The following is a 23,941-nucleotide window of genomic DNA, read 5'->3' as shown; positions in this document are numbered from 1 at the left end:
TTGTATAGCATGGCACTTTTCGTTCATCCATTCGTCAGGTGATGAACATTTGAGTTATTTCAGCCTTTTGATTATGATGAATAATGTTGCTAAAACATACCTGTATGTGTTTTGTGTGGACATGTGTTTCATTTTCTTGGGTAGATGCCTAGGAGTGGAATTTCTGGATCACATGGTAACTGTTGAATTATTTGAGGAGCTGTTGGACTGTTCTCTAAAGTGGTTGCACCATTTTACATTCCCAAAAGCCGGTGTTGGAGGGTTCCAATTTCTCCACCTCTTCACCAACACTTGTTATTCTCTGACTTTGATTCTAGCCAAGCCAGTGGGTATGAAGTTATTTCTCATTGTGGTTTTGATGGACATTTCTCTGGTAACTAATGACGCTGAGCATCTTTTCATGTGCTTTATTGGCCGTTTCTATGTCTTCCTTGGAGAAATGTCTACTCAGATCCTTTGGGCATTTTTAAATTGGTTCTTTTGTCTTCTTATTATTGAGTTGTAATCATTCCTTATACATTCTAGATACTAGTTCATTACCAGACATATCATTGCAAATATTTTATCCCACACTGTGTGTTGTCACTTCCTTGATGGTGCCCTTTGAAGCACAAAAGGTTTTAATTTGATGAATTCCAAATTGTCTATTTCTCTTCTGTTGTCCATTGGAAAGTTTTAAGTAGGGGAGAGGAGTGTGAACTAATTTAAACTTTTTCAAGAATCCATAAGAGTCTGCTTTGTGGAAAAAGAATTTTAAGATACCGTATTAGTCAGGATTCTCTAGAGGGACAGAACTAATAGGATATATATATACAGAGAGAGAGAGAGACAGAGAGAGAGACAGAGAGAGAGACAGAGAGAGACAGAGAGAGAGAGGAGTTTTTAAAATATTAACTCACATGATCGCAAGGTCCAAAAATAGGCCATCTGCAGGCTGAGGAGTAAGGAGAGCCAGTCCAAGTCCCAAAACTGAAGAACTTGGAGTCTGATGTTTGAGGGCAGGAAGCATCCAGCATGGGAGAAAGATGTAGGCTAGGAGGCTAGGCCAGCCTGGCCTTTTCACGTTTTTTTCCACCTGCTTCATATTCTAGCTGTATTGGCAGCTGATTAGCTGGTGCCCACCCAGATTAAGGGTGGGTCTGCCTTTCCCAACCCACTGACTCAAATGTTAATCTCCTTTGGCAACACCCTCACAGACACACCCAGGATCAATACTTTGCATCCTCCAATCCAATCAAGTTGACACTCTATATTAACCATCACAGATACCAAGAGTGAAAATAGAAAGACCAATTAGAAACCCAAATCAAACTTGCTTAAACAATAAAGATGATTTCATATTTCAATAACTGGAATGTTCAGCTGAAGGACAGTCTTCAGACACTGATCAGGTATTGTCTCCATTTCTCCGTGACTGTTTCAGCTCTGCCCCGCTTCAGCTTCATCCCCACGTGGGTTTTCCTCATCTTGTGGGGTAGTTTCCAGGGACAACAGGGATCCATGCTTCTGCCCAAGCAAATGCCACTCTTCTAGCCATTGACCAAAGTCCAGAGCTTCACTCTGATTGGTTTATGTCACATGCTCACCCTGGAACAATCACTGTGGCCATGTGAATGCCACTGGCCACTTGGCTTAGTGGCTATTGTGGTGACAAACCCCTTCCTGAGCCAATAACTGTGGCAAGGGGGATAGAGTTCTGCCAGCTGGACAACGCTGCTAGAATCCACCCAGGGTTGCTACACAATGGGGAGGGGCAGCAGAACACTCGACAGGTGTCATCGGCCACAGACATGTAATCACGGAATGTAAGCTGCCCCCAGGGATGGGGCATAACCTTGGGCACAGCAGCTCTTTTTAGCCAATGGAAGGACACAGCCATGAAGCAACAGCAGTCAACACTCCCCATGACTGGAGGTGTGAGTGTCTCCTCCTGAAGCAGAGTCTGGGCTACATACCACAGCATCCACTACAGTATGGAACCAACATTTTTGACTCTGAGATGGCTATCTGCCTACAGGAGGTTTACTGGAGTGTGCTCTTGGCAATGACACCAACAAGGAGGTGGCAAAAATAAGGTTGGGTAAGAGAAGCTAAATCATAAAGCTGAATCATGATGTGGGTGCTTACAAGGGCCTCAGTGGACCCCCATGGGAAGCTTAAAGCTGGGAAGGGCCTTCAGGGTTGTCCCGAATTGAGAAAAGGAGGGCAGTCCTTTGTATCCCCAAATCTATCAGTCATGGAATGTAAGCTGCCCCCAGGGAGGGAGTATAACCTTGGGCACAGCAGCTCTTTTTAGCCAATGGAAGGACAGAGCCATGAAGCAACAGCAGTCAACACTCCCTATGACTGGAGGTGTGAGTGTCCCCTCCTGAAGTGGGTCTGGGCTACACACCACAACATCCACTACAGTACAGCACTAACATTGTTGACTCTAAGGGGCTACTGCAAAAGTCCACATAGCCATTTGGAACCAAGGTGGTGGCAATTGTGAGAAAGTGGGAAAAATGTCAGCAGATTTTGAATATGTTTTGGTGCTCGAATTATCAGAAATTGCCAAAGAATGTTGGGAGCTGGTGATGGAAAGAGAACCCAATGAGATTTGGGGCTTGAGCAATTGGATTGGTGGTGTCATTGATACAGATGACAAAGTGTTCGCTGAGCACCTAGGCACTGAATAGAGATTTATTTCCTTCTTCTTAACCCTCTCCCACTTTATTCAGAAGTTCATATGAGCCATAACAAGGATTGGAAGAAGTTTTAGAAGTAACCTCCTGGGAGTCCATGAATTAGCAGCAGTGAGAGGCTAGAGGCCTGACAAAGAATTGAGAAGCAGCTGCTATATCCCAAGTGGCAAATGCCAGTGTGGATGGAGAAGAGAGAGCTTCATTCTGTGGCAGGAAAGCTTGGCTGCTGACAATGAGACTGCACCCTTGGGATTTGTCCCTTGGATTCTTTAGCATCTGAGCTCTAACCTCTGAAACACAAGAAAAAATGAGCAAGGTGATTTGTCCAGGCCACCTCTACTTCTGGAGAAAGGAGTCATAGCAAATGATCCACCACTATCTAGTCCCTGAGTGGATTTATACAAACCACCCCGAAGACACTGGGGTACTCTAAGATTGGCCCCAGATAAGCCATGGGGATACAGCACAGAAAAACTGTCCATGGCCAATATCAAAGATGCAGCTGGAGACCAGGCATCATGGGAGGTTCACAAAGGGGAGGCCTTGTCTTGTCCGCAGGAAGCTGCGCTCACAGCTTGTCTCCTCAGACTTGCTAGAGAGGCAACAGCCATAACAAAGGCTCAGACCTCACTTTTGGAGTGGCCACCATATGTTTTGGTTTTAGCTTTGCCTTGCAAATTGTTTAGTAAAGCCAGGCCAGAACATATACCCAAATGCTACTGCACCGATCCCAAGCTACCTGTTTGACTTATTAGATGGTATAGAGGGTGAAGATATTATCACTCTACTAAGTGCCTCCTTATCAATGAGTCCCACTAAGGAGCACGAGCCCACTTATCCCTGTTTGCAGTGCTACATTAAAAATCATTTATGAGGCCAGGCACGGTGGCTCACGCCTGTAATCCTAGCACTTTGGGAGGCTGAGGCGGGTGGATCACGAGGTCAGGAGATCGAGACCATCCTGGCTAACAGGGTGAAACTCCATCTCTACTAAAAATACAAAAAATTAGCCAGGCATCGTGGCGGGCGCCTGTAGTCTCAGCTACTCGGGAGGCTGAGGAAGGAGAATGGCATGAACCCGGGAGGCGGAGCTTGCAGTGAGCCTAGATCGCGCCACTGCACTCCAGCCTGGGCAACACAGCGAGACTCTGTCTCAAAAAAACAAAATAAATAAATAAATAAATAAAAATCATTTATGGCTGGGTGCAGTAGCTCATGCCTGTAATCTCAACACTCTAGCAGGCCGAGGTAGGCTGATCACTTGAGCCCAAGAGTTCAAGACAAGCCTGGACAACATGGTGAAACCCCATCTCTACAAAAATACAAAAATTAGCCAGGCATGGTGGTGCATGCTTGCAGTCCCAGCTACTCGGGAGGCTGAGGTGTGAGGATCACTTGAGCCCAGGAGGTTGAGGCTGTAGTAAGCCGTGATCATACCACTGCACTCCAGCCTGGGCAACAGACTCTGTCTCAAAAAAATTTTTTTTTTAATTTTAAAAATCGTTTATATAAGGCTGGGTGTGGTGGCTCAAGCCTGTAATCCCAAAACTTTGAGAGGCTGAGGCGGGAGGATCACTTGAGCCCAGGAGTTCAAGACCAGCCTGGGTAACATAGTGAGGTCCTGTCTCTACAAAAAATAAAACATTAGCCGGGCATAGCAGCATGTGCCTGTGGTCACAATTACTTGGGAGCCTGAGGCAGGGGGATCACTTGAGCCTAGGGGGTCAAGGCTGCAGCAAGCCATAACTGCGTCACTGCACTCCAGTCTGGGTGACAGAATGAGACCCTGTCTCAAAAAAAAAAATCATTTATTATTGCCCTTGGATAGAATCTTTAAATTCACAGAAACACTTACAACCCTATAGAAGGAGAAGTGCTGAATTGTCGAATTCTCCAACAATGCTTCCTCTTTCTAGATGTTTGCTCAGCATCAATTCAGATACCGCTGAATAGAAGGCAACACCCAACCACACAGCCAGAGGCCTCCTGGGTAAATCGGGGACTGCTCTCCTCTGACCCCTCTTTCTCCTGCCTCTACCCCTTGGCTTCACAGCAATTATTCATTTTTTAACACTCAAATGCTGGGTACCTGTTGCCTATGTCGGGGCACGCTGTTACTCCCTACACACAGGTAAAATTGATTAACCGAATCTTGCCCTCCACTGGCTTACTGTGCAACGGTAGAGACTGGAAGCAACAGACGAGGGTGAGCTTTGGAAGAGCTGATGAGGCCATGATTAATTTCAACTGAGAGGTAAGAGAGGGGGAAGGAAGGAGGTGGATTTCAGCTGGGCCATAAAGGATGGGCAATATTTCAACAACAGAAAAGTGAGAAGAGGGCATTCCAAATCTCCGAAGGCTGTTTTAAAACACGACCTGAAAATTCTGTGGCCATCTCCTCACTGGGAGGTAGAATCCACCCCCCTCCCCTTCGTCCTGGGCCCAACGACCTGCTTAACCAGGGTCAGTTTCCAAACCCAGGTCCTGAAGTGGCAGCTTCCTCTTCCTGACTCTTAGGACGCTCACTCTCAGAGCACAGCTTCCAGAGGAGAGAAGATACCCCCAGCATCCATGAGAAGAGACCTCCGGGAGAAGCTTGTGTGGGTGTGCCGACCACTGGCCCCAGTTGAGGTCCCAGCCAACATCAGCTCCGACTTCCAGCCATGTGAGTGAACTGGCCCAGCTCCCTGGCTTCGGGCCACCCCAGCTGGTGCCGCTGATACAGGAGGTAGAAAGAAATTATTTAGACAGATAGTGAGGACAAAAGAGTCCTCGACAGAACTTCCCTTCTAACAAAAAACAGCTCAAGAAATTATTTTTTTCCTAACGAAGAATAGCCTGAAAAATCAAACTACAGACACAGATAAACAAAGACAACTAGAAAAACTAGAAACTTACACAGGGGAATGCCAACGATGACATCTATAGAAACGAGGCTACCTGGGGGCTGGACATGTCCACCATGGAAGCTCCATCTTCCCCTTCTTTGTTAACACGTGTACAGTAAAAAAGAAATGGGCAACATGACAATTTAGACTGAAAACACACCTGTAATAAAATACTGGGGTGGGGGTTGCCAGAAATGTACACCTTATACAAATGACACACCTGGTCCTAATCAATTTTTCATGCCCTCTGTAGATCAGACACCACCTCCCCAGCGACTCATCTATAAAACACCCCACATTTAACCACAGATCAACAACCCATTTTTCCGGGACCCCCTTCTATAACAGAGAGCTATTCTCTCTCTTTCATCTATTAAACTTCCGCTCTTAACCTAACTCTTCGTGGGTCCACGTCTTTAATCTCCATGACCATGAGACAACGAACCACAGGTATTACCCCAGACAATGAGGCCACTTCACTATGCCAAGAACACCTCTGGACTTCAGTGTCTCCCTCGGTAAAGTGAGACTAGTCATATCTAACTGCAGGGCTGCTGTGAGGATTAAACGAAACACAACACATGGTGGCCCCATCTAATAGAGACCAGCAGGACAAACCTGCAGACCAGCAGAGGCGGGCTTCTCGGATCACTGCAACAAGAGAGGGCACCTCAGAGGACCCATGGGGCAACTCTAACCAAGCAAGCCAACAGGATTACCATAGGGTGTTGGAGAAGGGAAAGTTGTAGGTAAGATTTAAATAAAGCAGTGTTTAATAGGCTCAAAGCAAAACACAACTGTGTATAAAGGAATTACGGTCAGACCTGGGCTACGAAGTGGATGGAGGTTCCTCTTTCCTTGGAAATGATGAAGTTAAGACAAATGTGCAATGTTGTGTCCAGAAGGCCCTGGGTTGGAAATCAAGGCAGCTTCTCAGTGTTAAGATGACCCAGGTCCTTCAGACAAAAGAAGGATGTTCCATTCTTACTCTATTTATCTCAAATAGCACAGTTTATAACAGTCTGTGCTTTTTCAGGAATAAGATTTTTCAGCACTATAACTTTTCGTTGATTAACAAAAGCAGTTTTAGCAGGTTCACAGATGTAAATACGTGGAGCCTGGCATATGGTGAACATTCGGTAATAGTTTCCCCATCCCCACCTCACTCATCTCCTCTTCTCTCTCACTTTCAGGCTCACCAACTTCTCCTGCCCACTCCCTATCAAGGAAAAGTCCCATAATGTATCCATCAACCACCATGGCTAATGCACCCGGTAAGTAGAGGAAACTCCCAGAGTAGGAGCCTCCATCTGTTCACAACAGCCAAAAGGTGAAAACAACCCAAGTGTCCACTAACAGACGGATGGATAAACAAAATGAGGTCTAGTCATATGATGGAATGTGACTCTGCTTTAAGAAGGAAGGAAATTGACACATGCCACAGCATGAATGGACCTTGAAGACGTTAGGCTAAGTAAAATCAATCACTCACAAAAGGACAGTACTATAGGATTCTACTTACATGAGATGTCTAGAGTAGTTAAATTTATAAAGACAGAAAGTAGGATGACAGTTGCCAGGGGTCAGGGGGAGGGGGAATGAGGATTTGGCATTTAATGGGGATAGAGTTTCAGTTTGGGGTGATAAAAAGCTCTGGAGATGAAGGTTGTACAACGATGTGAGCGCATTTAATGCCATGGAACTGTACACTTAAAAATGGTTAAAGGCCAGGTATGGTGGCTCACGCCTATAATCCCAGCACTTTGGGAGGCTGAGGTGGGTGGATCACCTGAGGTCAGGAGTTTGAGACCAGCCTGACCAACATGGCAAACCCCTATCTCTACTAAAAAAAATACAAAATTAGCTAGGCATGGTGGCATAAGACTGTAATCCCAGCTACTCAAGAGGCTGAGGAAGGAGAATCGCTTGAACCCAGAGGCAGAGGTTGTAGTGAGTCGAGATAGTGCAATTGCACTCCAGCCTGGGCAACAAGAGCAAAACTCCATCTCAAAATAAATAAATAAATAAATAAATAAATAAATAAATAAATAAATAAATAAATAAATTAAATGGTTAAAGTGAGCTGGGCACAGTGGCTCACGCCTGTAATCCCAACACTTTGGGAGGCTGAGGTGGGCAGATCACTTGAGGCCAGGAGTTGAGACCAGCCTGGGCAAAATAGTAAAACCCCATCTCTACAAAAAAAAAATACAGAAATTAGTCAGGTGTGTTGTGGCTTTCATCTGTAGTCCAGCTGTTTGGGAGGCTGAGGTGGTAAGATTGCTTGACACTAGGAGGTTGAGGCTGCAGTGAGCTATGATCACACCACTGTACTCCAGCCTGGGTGACAGAGTGAGACCCTGTCTCAAAAAAAAAAAAAAGTTAAAGTGGTAAATTTTATTTTATGTTATGTGCGTTTTATCAGTATTTTTAAAAGGCTTCATCTGCCTATCCCCACTGAAAATAAGACTCGACTCTACCTATGATCTGAACCTCAGAATGAATGAGAAAGTCCAGAGAGGAGCACTGTGTGTCTCCTGAGCACCCCTAGGAAGAGGTACATGTCCCCTGTCGGATCTACCCTGTTCATTCTGTGGGTACGTTAGCCCAGATTCTTCACCCTGAGAACATTAAGCCCTGTATTAGTCAAAGTCAAGCTAAACTCCTGTGGCAAGTTATTCCAAAATACAATGGCTAAAACTATAGAATCTTCTCTCTAAAGTAACAGCTACATGGTGAGCCATCCAGGTTGGAGGGTGGCACTGATCTTCCCGGTCATTCTAGACTTGGGTTCCTTCCCTGTCACTGCTCCAGTGGCCCCAAGGTCCCTGTGGGGGTCTGCATGGTAGAAGCTGGGGTGCCCCAAGTCCAACAATTCCGCCTGGTGGAAGAGGAACAGGACCTGGCTAAGCAGTTGGGATTATCACCTCCTCTCCCATTCCATTGGCAAGGCCTTGGGCGCCCACCGGGGGAGCTGTGTGGTGAAGTGTGGCAGGCAGTATATACCTGGCTGCAGTTCTGCGACTGTGGAGGAATTTCCAGAATCTGCAACTTTGATTTTCATTGCTTGCAGTCTCTTCCACAAGCCCTAAAACAAGAGTCACTCTCAACTCTGGTGCTTGGGGACAGTTCTTTATTCTAACCCAGAAAGATGACCTGAGTGACTAGAACTCAGAATAGGCACCTGGGAGTCCCTTAATTAGACACAGGGGGTTTGCAGCCATAGTTCTACCTGCCGTGTTGTAACAGCGTCACCATCAGCTGCTGAGGCAGGGCAAGTGACTTGCTGCTAATAACATAAAGTACTCATGTCTGCAAACCACTTACTCTTTTAACTAAATTAGAGAGTAATCAAGGTTAGCCTTTTAATAACATCACTTTCACTTATGAAAAACCATACAAGCTTCCTGAGTGGAATAAAAAGGGAGAGTGATCCTAGCGGGCTGGAGCAGCCACGGGTGTGTGTGTGTGCGTCGGCAAAGAACGGCAAAGGTGAAGGATTGCAGTAGTCAAAGAAATCTCACAGGAGGCAGTAGGTTTTAGGGGAAAGAGCTTGAATGTGGGCATCAAGGAACTTGGGTTCTGGCTTTTGATATGTCATTAACTAAGTTGAATGAGGACATTCCTTGAAAGCCTATAGTGTGCCAAGCACATGCCCAGTGTGGGTCTTGGGCAGGCCACATGACATCTCTCCCTTGCCCATCGCCTCCACCCTCCGCCCCCAACAAAACAGAATGTTGAATTCATGTCCTCTGAGACTTTCTTCAGCTCTGCTACAACATGATTCTAGGAAGTAGAAGCTCACCTTCTGATCTTGGGAAGCAAAATAACTGCGGAAAAAAGGAAGGCTGTACAAAGAAAAAAATCCCAGTCACATATGTGGTCTTCCTGGCAAGAGGGCATGACTTGAGTCCAATCGCAAGAAAATTTCAGATAAACCTAAATGAAAAATGCTGTATTTTTAAAAGTGGGGAGGTGGAATTGTGTGCTTCCAAAGTGTCAATGCCAAAAAAAAAAAAAAGAAAGCACAAAAAGGGCATGAAAATGTTGCAAATGAATAGAGGCTGAAGAGACAAGATAATTTAACCCAACACCTGACTCTAGGCTGGAGCCTGTAAAAAAGAGAGGAAAATGGTGTTTTGAAAAAAAAAAAAATGATACAGGCCGGGCATGGTGGCCCACGCCTATAATCCCAGCACTTTGGGAGGTCGAGACGGGTGGATCACCCTGAGGCTGGGAGTTCGAGACCAGCCTCTCCAACATGATGAAAACCCTCTCTACTAAAAAAATTTTAAAAATTAGCCGGACATGGTGGTGGGTGCCTGTAATCCCAGCTACTTGGGAGGCTGAGGCAGGAGAATAGCTTGAACCCGGGAGGCAAAGGTTGCAGTGAGCCCAGATTGCACCACTGCACTCCAGCCTGGGCAACAAGAGTGAAACTCCATCTCAAAAAAAAAAAAAAAAAAAAAAGACAAATGATTTCTCTTATATGAAGTACCTATATTAGCCAAATTCATAAAGAAAGAAAGTTGAATAGAGGTGACCAGGGCTGGGGACAGCAGGGAAGGGGGAGTTACTGCTTAATGGGTACAGAGGTTCTGTTTAAGGTGACAAAAAAGGTCTAGAGATGATTAGTGGGGATGGTTCTACAACATTGTGAATGTATTTAATGCCACTCAATTGTACACTTAAAAATGGATGCTGACCAGGCGCAGTAGCTCATGCCTGTAATCTCGGCACCTTGGGAGGCCGAGGCAGGCGGATCACATGAGGTCAGGAGTTCGAGACCAGCCTGGCCAATGTGGTGAAACCCCGTCTCTACTAAAAATACAAAATTAGCTGGGCAATGGTGATGTGCACCTGTAGTCCCAGCTACTCGGGAGGCTGAAGCAGGAGAATCGCTTGAGCCCAAGAGGTGGAGGTTGCAGTGAGCCGAGATTGCGCCACTGCACTCCAGCCTGGGCAACAGAGCAAGACTGTCTCAAAAAAAAAAGTAAAAGGGGGTGTTACAGCTTATTTAGAATTTGTCTAGCAGATTTTCCAGCTTTTACTGGAAGCCCCCTCACCCCCAAAAATGTGTGAAATGGAAAACTGCATGTATATTTTACCACAGTGAAGAAACAAAAAAAAGAAGTTATTCCTCTGGGCTCCACTGTACCAGGGGCTTCTCTTTGTCAGAGCATGAGGAATACCGCAGTGTAACGTGCCTCTCTGTTGGCTGTGTGCTCCCTGGGGCCAGTGACTGTGCCTGAGACAGTTGCTCGTATAATTAGGTTGTTAATGTGCATTTGGTTTTAATGAAAAAAGAAATGAGCAACACGCCCTGGTGCATTTCCGGAAGCCTGTGCATTTCCAGAAGGCTGTGCATTTCCAGAAGCCTGTGCATTTCCGGAGGCCTGTGCATTTCCAGAAGCCTGTGCATTTCCAGAAGCCTGTGCATTTCCAGAAGCCTGTGCATTTCCCGAAGCCTGTGCCTGTACAGTGGGCTTCACAGGGGTGTGTGCCTCGTGCAGCTGCGCATTCAGCCCACGGTCCAGAGCAGCCAGTGACCTGGGATATTTAGCAGGGAGTTATGATCTGGCCTCTGTTTTCTCCACGAGGATCAGCCCTGAGGCCAACTGGGACAGAGACCACACAGCACACAAAGGGCACTGGCAGTGTGGGCCACCGCAGTTCGAGGGTTCTGTTCCAAGCAGGATTGCTACCCAAACACAGCAGGCCTGGAGAGGCTGCGATCAACTCACAACCCTGAGAAAACAAACTCGATCGTGAGTGCGTTGTGGAAGCTGTGATGTCTGTGGCCCATGGGGACAAAGTTAACTGTCTTAATGTAAAGACAAATGAAGGGGCCCTCTTCTGGTAAGAGAATTAAATTCCTCCATCCAGGGAGGAAAAGCATGACTTTCCAGGCTGAGAGGAAAAGGAAGGACTTCGCTGTAATCCAGTCAGCAACAGCAGCAAATTTAAGGGGGGAAATGTGTCAAATGCAGGAAAGGGGTCAGAAAAACAAACAGCATTCATTGCCCCTCAGGCGCCCTTCAGGGAAAGCAGACAGGCCTGGAGGAACAGGCTCGCAGTCCACTGCCCTTTGCTGTGAATCCCAAACAGCCCTGCGATCACCGGTTGGGCTTCCCACGCACCTTCACATTCAGGAGGAGCTGCCCGGGGTACCAAGCTGAGGATTTCTGTCCCGGGACAAGCAGCCTCCCTGGGGAAAATCAATGCTGGCATGTGGCTTCCAGGAGAGGCCCCCGTGACTTCAGAGGGCTGCTGTGCCTCTGAGTTCAGTTTGCCTGAAAAATCTTCCAAACGCAGCTCTAGTGCCACTTCCTCCAGGAAGCCCACCAGCCGGCCCCCACCACTCCTGGACCCCTGCCTAAGAATACTTATGCCTTACACACTACAATATGGAGAAATTACTAATACAAAAACAAAATGTCCGAGTCCACTCCAAACATAGGAGGGAGAATCAAGGCGGAAAGATACAGTGGTCTTAACTTGTGCTTGAAAGATTTTACTTTTAGGTCGGGCGTGGTGGCTCACAACTGTAATCCTAGCATTTTGGGAGGCCGAAGCAGGCGGATCACCTGAGGTCGGGAGTTCGAGACCAGCCTGGCCAATATGGAGAAACCCTGTCTCTGCTAAAAATACAAAAATTAGCCGGGCGTGGTGACATGCACCTGTCATCCCAGCTTCTCGGGAAGCTGAGGCAAGAGAAACCCTGTCTCTGCTAAAAATACAAAAATTAGCCGGGCGTGGTGACATGCACCTGTCATCCCAGCTTCTCGGGAAGCTGAGGCAAGAGAATCGCTTGAACCCGGGAGGCAGAGGTTGCAGTGAGCCAAGACCCCGCCTTTGCACTCCAGCCTGGGCAACAAGGGCAAAACTCCATCTCAAAAAAAAGCAAAAAAATTTTTACTTTTGCCGGGCGTGGTGGCCCATGCCTGTGATCCCAGCACTTTGGGAGGCCGAGGCAGGAGGCTCACTGCAGCCCAGGAGTTCAAGGCTGCAGTGAACTGTATCATGCCACTGCTCGCCAGCCTGCCCCACAAACATATTTTTTTTCACTTTTGCATATTTTACAAAGCACACACCCACGTGAGCGCATTGCCAGCCCCCTCGCCCCCCAGGACAAAGTGGAGACCCTGTCAGCGAGGAGGCTACCGCTTAAGTCCCTGGGGTTCTCCAGAGAAGGAGGAGAAGGCTCTGCAGAGCCATGCGCCCTGGACGGAAGAACTTTCAAAAGTAATTCAACAAAATAGAAACTTGTCGAATTACATTGCAGACAGCGCGTGCGGAGCAAATGTGTGTCCACGGAATATTCGTCGGGCACAAGAGGAATTCCCTGTCAGCTCCCAGGACCGTGGGTGCCCTGAGGCCGAGTCACGCTCCCCCGGGATAAAGAGGGTGGGGGCGCACACAGGCAAGGAGGAGGCGGGGTGGGGGGGTGCAGAATAAGGAACTAAGGTAAAAACGCCCAGTACTGGACTCCCCTCCGAGCAGCACCCCGAGAGGGCCCGGAGGAGCTGAGGCGGTGCGAGCCGAGACTGCCAGCCCCGCCCCCAGCAGGCCCCGCCTTCCGCTGCTCGCCACCGCCCCCGTGAAAAAAAACCAAACCGGTAACCTCTACCCGGCCGCCTCCCATTGGATATGTGAGTGAGCGATGTCCGCCCGGACCAATGAGCCGCAGCCACGGCTTGGCGAGCGCCTTCCGGCCCGCCCCCGCGCGGCCGCCCCTCGGACCACCGGACTGGCCTGGGGCGGGACGTGGGCGCGGGGGCGCGGCGTGCGGCACGCTGCAGGGCTGAAGCGGCGGCGGCGGTGGGGACTGCACGTAGCCCGGCGCTCGGCATGGCTCTCCTGGTGCTCGGTAGGTGCGGGCCAGCGGAGGGAGGCGGGCGAGCTGGGGTCGGCCTGAAAGGTTTCGAATCTCTAGGCCGTTCCCCGGCGGGCCGCGGCCGCAGGCGGCCGGAAGTGGGCCTGGCGGGCGGGAGGCGCGGGCCTCGGCGTCCGGAGGAGCTGCTAGGTTGCCCCGGCGGAGGTGCGGGTGCGCGGGAGACTCGGGCGCCCGTGGGGAGGGGCTTCCGCAGCCGCGGGGGGCGGGAGCCTCGTGCGCTGGAGCCGGGCGCGGGGTCCAGGGCCGGGCGGGAGAGCCGCGGAGCCCAGCCCCGGCCGGATCCCGGGGAGGGGGTCTGTATTCCCGGAGAGTCGCAGGGGAGCTTGTTCCGGGCTCTTCTCGAACTCGTGCGTGGGGACGGAGGTTGGCGGGCGTCCTGCACTGCTGCTTGTTTCTGCCACCTGCTTTATGCAGCTCCTACTTTTAAAAACTGAAATGTTAAGCCGGGCGCGGTGGCTCACACCTGTAATCCCAGCACTTTGGAAGGCCGAAGCGGGTGGATCATCTGAGGTCAGGAGTTCGAGACCAGCCTGACCAACATGGCGAAACCCCGTCTCTACTAAAAATACAAAATTAGTCGGGCGTGGTGTCGCGCGCCAGTGATCCCAGCTACTCAGAAGGCTGAGGCAGGAGAATCTCCTGAACCCCCAGGAGGCGGAGGTTGCAGTGAGCCGAGATCGCGCCACTCCAGCCTGGGCAACAAGAGTGAAACTCTGTCTCAGAAACGAAAAACTGAAATGTTAAATCTCAGTCCTGAAATAAGGACCCATAGTTCCCTTAGAAAGGGACAGTGCCTTCCAAAAGCTGGGCTTAAGACGCAGGGGCGCTTCGCATGTGATCGGACTCCTTAAAAACGAAATGGAACGCGGCGTCTTAGGAATTCTGTAAATGTCTGCTTCTTAGTGGGCGAGGCCGAGGGTCCTGTCCTTGCCGGGCTCGCCTTGGTCACAGCCTTGGCTCTGACAGTCCTTAACCTCGGCTCTGGCCTCAGACCACCTTCCCCCTATTTACTGGCTCTGTGACTTGGAGCAAGTTACTTAACCACTCTGTGCCAGTGCCTTTTCAACGGTGTTCACCATTTTAGGGACTGATAATAGTACTCCCTTAGGGTTGTCCTGAGGATTAATGAGTTAGTACATGTCTTTCTGTTTTTTGAGACACGGTCTTGCTCTGTCTCCTAGGCTGGAGTGCAGGGTTTCCATCATAGTTCACTGCAGCCTGGAACTCCTGGTCTCAAGGGATCCAGGCACATGCCACCACACCTGGCTAATTTTTAAATTTTTTGTAGAGTCAGGGTCTCATTGTATTGCTCAGGTTGGTCTCAAACTCCTGGCCTCGAGTGATCCTCCTTCCTCAACCTCCCAAAATCCTGGGATTACAAGTGTCAGTCACCTGGCCCAGCTAGTACATGTTTTAAAGAGATGTAAATATTTGCCATATTACTGTGGAGAGAGTAGATGAGGGGAAAAGAGTTTAGTCTGTTTAGTTTCCTGTGAGTGAATTCAGACTAGACCCTGAAAGAGTCCGTGAGTCTATTAATTAACTCATTTTAATAAATGGCAGCCTTTCTGGGAAACCTCATGGTTTCTAGATGACTGCTCTGGGACTGTAGACTCCTCCTAGCAGATGTGGGACAGAGATGTTACTGATGTGAATTTATAGCATCCTTAACTGCCATGGAGGAATGGAAAACCACAGATGGCAGAGCCATCTGCTCACAGAGATTCTAGACACTCACTCGGATGGTCCAATTTCCCATTGGTGTTCATTATCACTGAGTGGAATGGTGATGTGAATTTTAGAAACAGAACGTCATTGGTCAGCATTGACCTACTTTGTCATCTTAAGTGAGCCCAGGGTTTTTTGTGTTCTTGGGGGTTGGAGGTAGTTGTTGGCTACTTTTATGCATTCAGAATGTCCACATCTTTTGTCTGTTCTTTCTCAGTAGTATGTTAGGTTTCCTTGTAACCCTGCTAGGTCACATTGCCTTTTTAGGAATTTTAGTCTCAAACCTTAATCAACACAGCATTTTCATTGGGTAGCCGTGTACAAGCAGAGGAGGCTCTTGTGAGAACTAGGCAAAATTTAAAGACAAACAAAGGTCCCTCACCATTACTAGAAAAAAGAATAACCCAAGTCTATCTTAATACTGTCAGTAAAGAGCGTCTTTATACGGAAAGGGAAGGACATTCCTAAGGTGAAAAACCCTGGTCTGTTCTGGTGACTGCAGCCTGCTTGTAACAGCATGAAGAGGAGAGGACTGACGTTATTGCTGTCCTTGATTGGCAAAGAGAAGTGAAAGTACCTAATTCTGCCACAGTCTACCTAATGATGCTCTGTGGATTATACCCCTGCATTCTCCAGCCCTTCGGTTAGAAATTTGGGTCTATCTAATTATATGATCTTAGGTAAGTTATCCTTTCTGTGTTAAAGTTTCCTGGTCTGTGAAATAATGGGCACCATGACACATACCACATAGGGTTCTTAAATGACTTAATATATGCAAAATGTTTAGAAAAATGCCTGATACAGAGTCACGCAAGTGTTACTGTTTTGTCTCGCCAGAAATAAAGACCCCAGTTTCTGGAGCATAGTGTGACAGGTATCTCAGAATGTTAGCCATACTCCCAGATCTCTCTTATAAGAATTTCTCTTGAAACAGTCATACTAGTTTGAGGGGAGGAGGAAAATATAAGAATTTTCCCTGCTGGGCTGTTAGTGAAAAACTGGAAACAATCAAAATTCAGTCAGTAGTGGATTGACTAAATGGTTCAGCCATTAAAAATGGTTACATTGGAGTAATTTTAAAATTCTTAAGTAGAAAATATCTGTAACTTACTCTTTTGCTTTTCCATTTTTGAAAATTTCACAATAGGCTCAGTGTACTGAGCAAGTACCAAATTCATATCGATTTTACAAAAAAGATAAAGTTCTTTAAAAGTAGTACATCTCTGTAGAAGATTATCCTATTTTTTGGGTTTTTTTTTTTTTTTTTTTTTTTTTTTGAGACCGGGTCTTGCTCTGCCTCCCAGGCTCAAGCAATCCTCCCACATCAGCCTCTGGAGTAGCTGCGGCTACAGATGCACCCTACCATACCGAGCTAATTTTTGCATTTTTGTATTTCATATTTTTTCTCTACAAGAGATGGAGTTTTGCCATGTTGCCCAGGCTGGTCTCAAACTCCTGGCTCAGGTTATCCACCCGCCTCATCCTCCCAAAGTTCTGGGATTACAGGCCTAAGCCACCACACCCAGCCTTAGTCTTACTTTCAAGCTTATTCAGAGTTAGGACTGTCAGTGCTTATGTTCTTGATTTACTTGGCTTTGTTAAACGTGTCAAACTCTACTTCACCTTTTCTGCAGCAGTGAAAAGATTAATGAGCAGTGCCATCCAATAGAAATATAATGCAAACATATATGTAATTTTAAATTTTCTAGTAGCTACATTTAAAATGGCCAAAAGAAACAGGTGAAATTAATATATTTACTGAGTATATCTAAGATCATTTAAACATGTGTTTTCAAAATGAAAAATAATATTGAGGCCGGGCACGGTGGCTCACGCCTGTAATCCTCGCACTTTGGGAGGCCAAGGTGGGCGGATCACCTGAGGTCAGGAGTTCAAGACCAGCCTGGCCAACATGGTGAAACCCCATCTCTACTAAAATACAAAAATTAGCCGGGCATGATGGCTGATGCCTGTAATCCTGAGACGGGAGAATCGCTTGAACCCAGGAGACAGTGGTTGCAGTGAGCCAAGATTGCACCACTGCACTCCAGCCTGGGCAGCTGAGTGAGACGCCGTCTCAAAAAAAAAGAAAAATAATGAGATTACATTTTTCCCTCCATTAAGTCTTCAGAATTCAGTGTGTTTTTACCAGCATATCTTAGTTTGGGGTAGCCACATGTAGCTAGTGGCTATCATGCTGGATAACCTGTTACTGAGAGAGCAGCCCCGCTTTGGTTAGCCTGGCATCCATTCACAGGCATCCTTTCCCACCTCTTGAAATGGAAAAGGAGATCATCCTATCAAAGGCTACTCCATCACTGACTGGGTTCCCGCTCCTCTTCTGACTCTGGGCATTTTATTCAGATACTCCCTGTATTTTATCTTTGGCCTCTCCCACTGCATATGTCTTCCTCTCCTAGATCACTCCCATCTTCAAAGAAAACCTTCCTTGTTTTCTACATTTGCCTGCCTCTGGTCTCTATAATGAAACCTGCTTAAAGAGTTACCTATATTCTCTCCAACCTTCTGCAGACTGCATGCCTGTTATTTTCACTCCACCACAACTGCCAGGGCTCCCAGTGACTTCTTTGTCACTAAATCCAATCAGTAGATGGTTTTAAGTCTTTGCTACTTTATCTCCCAGTAGCATTTGTTAGTGTGGCCCCTTCCACATGTATCTTGGTTTATGTGACACCACTCTGGATAATTCTCCCAATCCACCTTCCACATGGCAACTGGAATACTCCTTCTAGAAAGCATAAATCTATTCTTTCCTCTGAATGATAACCCTTTAGTGGCTTCACTATTAGTAAAATTAACAGTTTTATAAGTTCTTACAGTATTGGCTATATCTGTGATTCAAATGCAGTGTAAATCTTGAATACCATAATTGTTCATTCATACCTATAGCGTACAGAACCACTTTATCTTGAGCACTAAAAAGACAGCATGGTGTAATAGGAAAAGCTTGGAAATGGAGAGCTGCCCTGCCCCTTATATGTATGACCATAGATGGGCCATTTGGTCTAGACCTTTATTTACAAAATGGGGATAAGTCCTACTTTCTAGTTAGTAATGCTGTCAAAAATTAAGTGATCTAACATTTGATAGTGATTTGAAAAATTGAACGTGTTGTATGATGGAGGATTTAGCAGTAAAACAATGAACAATGGTGTACACTCCTTCCAGAAAAAGTGTACCATTTAGTTATTCCAAAAAGGTCCATTTGAAATCTTCCAAATTCTAATTGTGAAGCAAGCATGTGAAAATGTAACTAAGATGGCATGTACACACACTACTTGAGAACACAGGCCAGTCTCACTTATAATTTGCTATATCAACAAATTAAAAGGAAGAAATGATATGATCAACTTCAGAGATGCTGAAAAGACAGGAATAGATAGAAATTTCGTTAACATTGTAAGTACATTTTGGCCTGGCGTGGTCACTCATACCTGTAATCCCAGCACTTTGGGAGGCAGAGGCAGGAGGATCACTTGAGACCAGCCTGGGCAACACAGGGAGACCCTGTCTCTACAAAAAATTTAAAAGTTAGCCAGGGATGCACCTGTAGTCCCAGCTACTGGGGGTGCTGAGGTGGGAGGATCACTTGAGCCCAGGAGGTCAGGGCTGCTGCAGGGAGCTGTGTTTGCACCATTGCACTCCAGTCTGGGTGACAGATCAAGACCCTCTCTCAAAAAAAATTAAAAAGTGTATTTATTTCAATCCAAAAGCCAGCATGATGCAAATAGGAAAACCTTGTTGAAGTCAAGAATAGTCTGAGGATATTCCATTATTTACCTTGTTCTAGAGGTAATCAGCAAATTTTTGTATATTGTCATGTGTTGCTTAACATTAGAGACGTGATCTGAATTATGATCAACTTCAGAGATGCTGAAAAGACAGGAATAGAAATTTCTTTAATTGCTATTGTATCAGACGATTTCTTCATTGTGAATAACATCAGTGTGTACTTAATACAAACCTAGATGGCATAACTTACTAAAAACCTAGGCTACATGGTATAGCTTATTTCTCTTAGGTTATAAATCTGTTCGGCATGTTACTGTACTGAATATTGTATGCAGTTGTAACACAATGGCAAGCATTTGTGTATCTAAACATAGAAAGGGTGCAGTAAAAATATGATATAAAAGATTAAAATAGTACACCTGTACAGGACATTTACCGTGAATGCAGCTTGCATGACTGGGGGTTGCTCTAAAAATTTTATTTCTTGGATAATAGATTAACCTTAATTTACTGTAACGTTTTTCTTTCTTTCTTTCTTTCTGTCTTTATTTTTTAGGAGATGTGGTTTTGCTATTCTGTGTTGGCCAGCCTGGTTTTGAACTGCTGGCCTCAAGCAGTCCTCCCACTTTGGCCTCCAAAGTGTTGGGATTATAGGTGTGAGCCATGGCATCTGGTCAACATTTTACTTTCTAAACTTAATTTTTTTTTTTTAACTTTTTGGCTCTTGTAAAAACACTTACCTTAAAACGCATTATACAAAACAGCAGTACAAAAATATTTTCTCTCTTTTTTTTTTTTTTTTGAGACAAGGTCTTGCCCTATCAGGCTGGAGTGAGTGGTGCATCACAGCCCACTGCACCCGTAGCCTCGACCTCCCTGGGCTCAGTGATCCTCCCACCTCAGCCTCTCGAGTAGCTAGGACTATAGGCATGCACCACCATGCCTGGCTAATTTTTGTACTTTTTTTAGAGAGGGGGTCTCACTATGTTGCCCAGGCTGGTCTTGAATTCCTGAGCTCAAGCGATCTGCCTGCCTTGGCCTCCCAAAGTGCTGGGATTACAAGCATGACCCATAGCACCTGGCCAGTATTTTCTTTTATATCCGTATTCTGTAAGGTTTTTTTCGTTTTTTTTTTTTTTTTTTTAATTATACTTTAAGTTTTAGGGTACATGTGCCATGCTGGTGCACTGCACCCACTAACTCCTCATCTAGCATTAGGTATATCTCCCGATGCTATCCCTCCCCCCTCCCCCCACCCCACAACAGTCCCCAGAGTGTGATATTCCCCTTCCTGTGTCCATGTGATCTCATTGTTCAATTCCCACCTATGAGTGAGAATATGCGGTGTTTGGTTTTTTGTTCTTGCAATAGTTTACTGAGAATGATGATTTCCAATTTCATCCATGTCCCTACAAAGGACATGAACTCATCATTTTTTATGGCTGCATAGTATTCCATGCTGTATATGTGCCACATTTTCTTAATCCAGTCTATCATTGTTGGACATTTGGGTTGGTTCCAAGTCTTTGCTATTGTGAATAATGCCGCAATAAACATACATGTGCATGTGTCTTTATAGCAGCATGATTTATAGTCCTTTGGGTATATACCCAGTAATGGGATGGTTGGGTCAAATGGTATTTCCAGTTCTAGATCCCTGAGGAATCGCCACACTGACTTCCACAATGGTTGAACTAGTTTACAGTCCCACCAACAGTGTAAAAGTGTTCCTATTTCTCCACATCCTCTCCAGCACCTGTTGTTTCCTGACTTTTTAATGATTGCCATTCTAACTGGTGTGAGATGGTATCTCATTGTGGTTTTGATTTGCATTTCTCTGATGGCCAGTGATGATGAGCATTTTTTCATGTGTTTTTTGGCTGCATAAATGTCTTCTTTTGAGAAGTGTCTGTTCATGTCCTTCGCCCACTTTTTGATGGGGTTGTTTGTTTTTTTCTTGTAAATTTGTCTGAGTTCATTGTAGATTCTGGATATTAGCCCTTTGTCAGATGAGTAGGTTGCGAAAATTTTCTCCCATTTTGTAGGTTGCCTGTTCACTCTGATGGTAGTTTCTTTTGCTGTGCAGAAGCTCTTTAGTTTAATTAGATCCATTTGTCAATTTTGTCTTTTGTTGCCATTGCTTTTGGATACAAAATCAATGTACAAAAATCACAAGCATTCTTATACACCAACAACAGACAGAGAGCCAAATCATGAGTGAACTCCCATTCACAATTGCTTCAAAGAGAATAAAATACCTAGGAATCCAACTTACAAGGGATGTGAAGGACCTCTTCAAGGAGAACTACAAACCACTGCTCAAGGAAATAAAAGAGGATACAAACAAATGGAAGAACATTCCATGCTCATGGGTAGGAAGAATCAATATCGTGAAAATGGCCATACTGCCCAAGGTAATTTACAGATTCAATGCCATCCCCATAAAGCTACCAATGACTTTCTTCACAGAATTGGAAAAAACTACTTTAAAGTTCATATGGAACCAAAAAAGAGCCCGCATCGCCAAAGCAATCCTAAGCCAAAAGAACAAAGCTGGAGGCATCACACTACCTGACTTCAAACTATACTACAAGGCTACAGTAACCAAAACAGCATGGTACTGGTACCAAAACAGAGATATAGATCAATGGAACAGAACAGAGCCCTCAGAAATAACGCTGCCTGTCTACAACTATCTGATCTTTGACAAACCTGAGAAAAACAAGCAATGGGGAAAGGAATCCCTATTTAATAAATGGTGCTGGGAAAACTGCCTAGCCATATGTAGAAAGCTGAAACTGGATCCCTTCCTTACACCTTATACAAAAATCAATTCAAGATGGATTAAAGACTTAAACGTTAGACCTAAAACCATAAAAACCCTAGAAGAAAACGTAGGTTTTTTTCGTTTTTAAAGTTTGTTTTAGTTTTTTAAACTTTTTTGTCAAAAACTAGGACACAGGGCCGGGCACGGTGGCTCACGCCTGTAATCCCAGCACTTTGGGAGGCCGAGGCGGGCGGATCACAAGGTCAGGAGATCGAGACCATCCTGGCTAACACAGTGAAACCCCATCTCTACTAAAAATACAAAAAATTAGCCAGGCGTGGTGGCAGGCGCCTGTAGTCCCGGTTACTCAGGAGGTTGAGGCAGGAGAATGGCGTGAACCCGGGTGGCAGAGCTTGCAGTGAGCCGAGATAGCGCCAATGCACTCCAGCCTGGGTGACAGAGCAAGACTCTGTCTCAAAAAAAAAAAAAAACACAAAAACTAGGACACAAACACGCACATTAGCCTAGGTCTACTCAGGGTCAGAGTTATCAAGGCATCACAAGGTGATAGGATTTTTTAAGCTCCATTATAATCCACAGGACCACCCTCATATATGTGTTCTCTCCTTGACCCTGTGGATGTGACTGTATATGTAAATTTAAAAGGTGAAATTTTGATAGTAATGCCATTTCAGAGAACTTTTGGGTTCTTAAGATACTAGTAAGTTCAGAATTTGTTTTCCTAAATTATTGTTGTAAATTGCATGTAAGTTTCCAGAGTTGCTAATGAAAATGCTCTTGATCCACAATGTGGCAGAACTGTGTGGTCAGCAATACAGTCGACACTGTATCCTGTCTTTATAAGGTTGTTCACACGAACAGTGTTTCTGATAATGTGTTATGGATAGTATTAAGAGAAATAAAACTATTTATAAAAATAAACATTGGCTGGGCGCCATGGCTCATGCCTGTAATCCCAGCACTTTGGGAGGCCGAGGCAGGCGGATCACCTGAGGTCAGGAGTTCGAGACCAGCCTGACCAACATGGAGAAACCCTGTCTCTATTAAAAATACAAAATTAGCCGGGCGTGATGGCACATGCCTGTAATCCCAGCTACTTGGGAGGCTGAAGCAGGAGAATTGCTTGAACCTGGGAGGCGGAGGTTGTGGTGAGCCAAGATCATGCCATTGCACTCCAGCCTGGGCAACAAGAGCGAAACTCCGTCTCAAAATATAAATAAATAAATTACCATTGCCCTTGAAAGAGTCACAATCTAGTGGAAGAGACAATAATTATTTTCCCTTCAAAAATATATTTGAATAAAGATAATGTGCTAATAATTGCAACTGAATAACATGAGGAATGATTACTACGTGATTGCCCAGGGTTACACAGGCAGAAGTGACCTCCCAATTTTTCAGCGTCCATGCCATAAAATGACAGTAGTACTGCCTCATGGAGCGGTTGTAAAGAACAAAGACGTTGATACATGAAAGCCACTAAGAATAATGCTTCAGCCTTTTTCCAGTGCAGCCCAAGGAGTGGGAGTGGGGACCGTCCGTTCCTTTCTTGCTCAGCGTTGCAGCAATGGGAGTGAAATTCCAGGGGCTCCAACTGCAGCAGGAAGGGCAGAGGGGCCAGAGCTAGGCCGTCCTCCTGTGTGAAGGGCCCTGGTCAGTTAAAGAGGACTCTGGTTCCCCAGGGTTTCCAGTCAAAGCATGAACAGTGCTGTTAATGGTGCACTTTTGTTTTTATCTTCAGGTCTGGTGAGCTGTACCTTCTTTCTGGCAGTGAATGGTCTGTATTCCTCTAGTGATGATGTGATCGAATTAACTCCATCGAATTTCAACCGAGAAGTTATTCAGAGTGATAGTTTGTGGCTTGTAGAATTCTATGCTCCATGGTAAGTATTATAAAATAGTTGTAGATTATTTATAGTACTTTCTGAAATTGGAGAAAACGCTGTATAAAAATCTGATTTTATTAAGACATCTAGTTTAGCTTAGTGTTTGTTTAAAAGAAGTAGAGAAGAGGGAAATGGGAAATGCAAAGTATCTAGTCTGTTGTTAAGGAAGATCTGTCTTTTGATGAGGTGATGCGTGTGGAAGGAAAACTGCTTTTATGAGGAAGGAATCTTGAGCAAAGAAAATGGAGGGGCCAGTGATTAACTTCACTCTGTTTCTTGAAGAGAATTATTTCCTGAAAAAATGTAGTTAGAAAATC

General features: G+C 45.7%; 1 protein-coding gene and 1 pseudogene across 6 annotated transcripts in view, besides 4 other annotated features; both read left to right on the top strand.

Annotated features, from left to right (window-relative positions):
• Nucleotides 1–23,941, top strand: part of PDIA6 (protein disulfide isomerase family A member 6) — a 54,322-nt gene that overhangs the window by 11,593 nt on the left and 18,788 nt on the right. For 2 of the 6 annotated variants that reach the window (NM_001282705.2, NM_001282706.2), the window contains exons 2-3: nt 6,766–6,846; nt 23,480–23,621. In NM_001282705.2, the coding sequence (NP_001269634.1) occupies nt 6,766–6,846; nt 23,480–23,621 (223 nt within the window). Of the gene's footprint in view, nt 1–5,201; nt 5,350–6,765; nt 6,847–13,334; nt 13,443–15,699; nt 15,878–23,479; nt 23,622–23,941 lie in introns of those variants that run through there. The other 4 variants (XM_011510308.2, NM_005742.4, NM_001282704.2 and 1 more) reach the window with 3 other exon arrangements.
• Nucleotides 5,208–6,407: an enhancer, noted in NCBI's record as "BRD4-independent group 4 enhancer chr2:10959839-10961038 (GRCh37/hg19 assembly coordinates)". NCBI's record gives its function as "activates an origin of replication core promoter dependent on BRD2, P300/CBP, MED14 and CDK7 cofactors, and independent of BRD4, by STARR-seq in HCT116 cells {active_cell/tissue: HCT116}" and the evidence as "EXISTENCE:reporter gene assay evidence [ECO:0000049][PMID:35650434]".
• On the top strand, nt 10,574–10,635 carry RNU7-176P (RNA, U7 small nuclear 176 pseudogene; annotated as a pseudogene).
• Nucleotides 13,033–13,782: a silencer, noted in NCBI's record as "silent region_11166". NCBI's record gives its function as "represses an Ori minimal core promoter by ATAC-STARR-seq in GM12878 lymphoblastoid cells {active_cell/tissue: GM12878}" and the evidence as "EXISTENCE:reporter gene assay evidence [ECO:0000049][PMID:35858748]".
• Nucleotides 14,273–14,332: an enhancer, noted in NCBI's record as "active region_15313". NCBI's record gives its function as "activates an Ori minimal core promoter by ATAC-STARR-seq in GM12878 lymphoblastoid cells {active_cell/tissue: GM12878}" and the evidence as "EXISTENCE:reporter gene assay evidence [ECO:0000049][PMID:35858748]".
• Nucleotides 15,319–15,428: an enhancer, noted in NCBI's record as "active region_15312". NCBI's record gives its function as "activates an Ori minimal core promoter by ATAC-STARR-seq in GM12878 lymphoblastoid cells {active_cell/tissue: GM12878}" and the evidence as "EXISTENCE:reporter gene assay evidence [ECO:0000049][PMID:35858748]".

The sequence above is a fragment of the Homo sapiens genome, chromosome 2, assembly GCF_000001405.40.
Source record: "Homo sapiens chromosome 2, GRCh38.p14 Primary Assembly".
Classification (NCBI taxonomy): Eukaryota; Metazoa; Chordata; class Mammalia; order Primates; family Hominidae; genus Homo; species Homo sapiens.
Note: the sequence above shows the minus strand (reverse complement) of the source record. Positions and strands in the feature narration are given on the sequence as shown.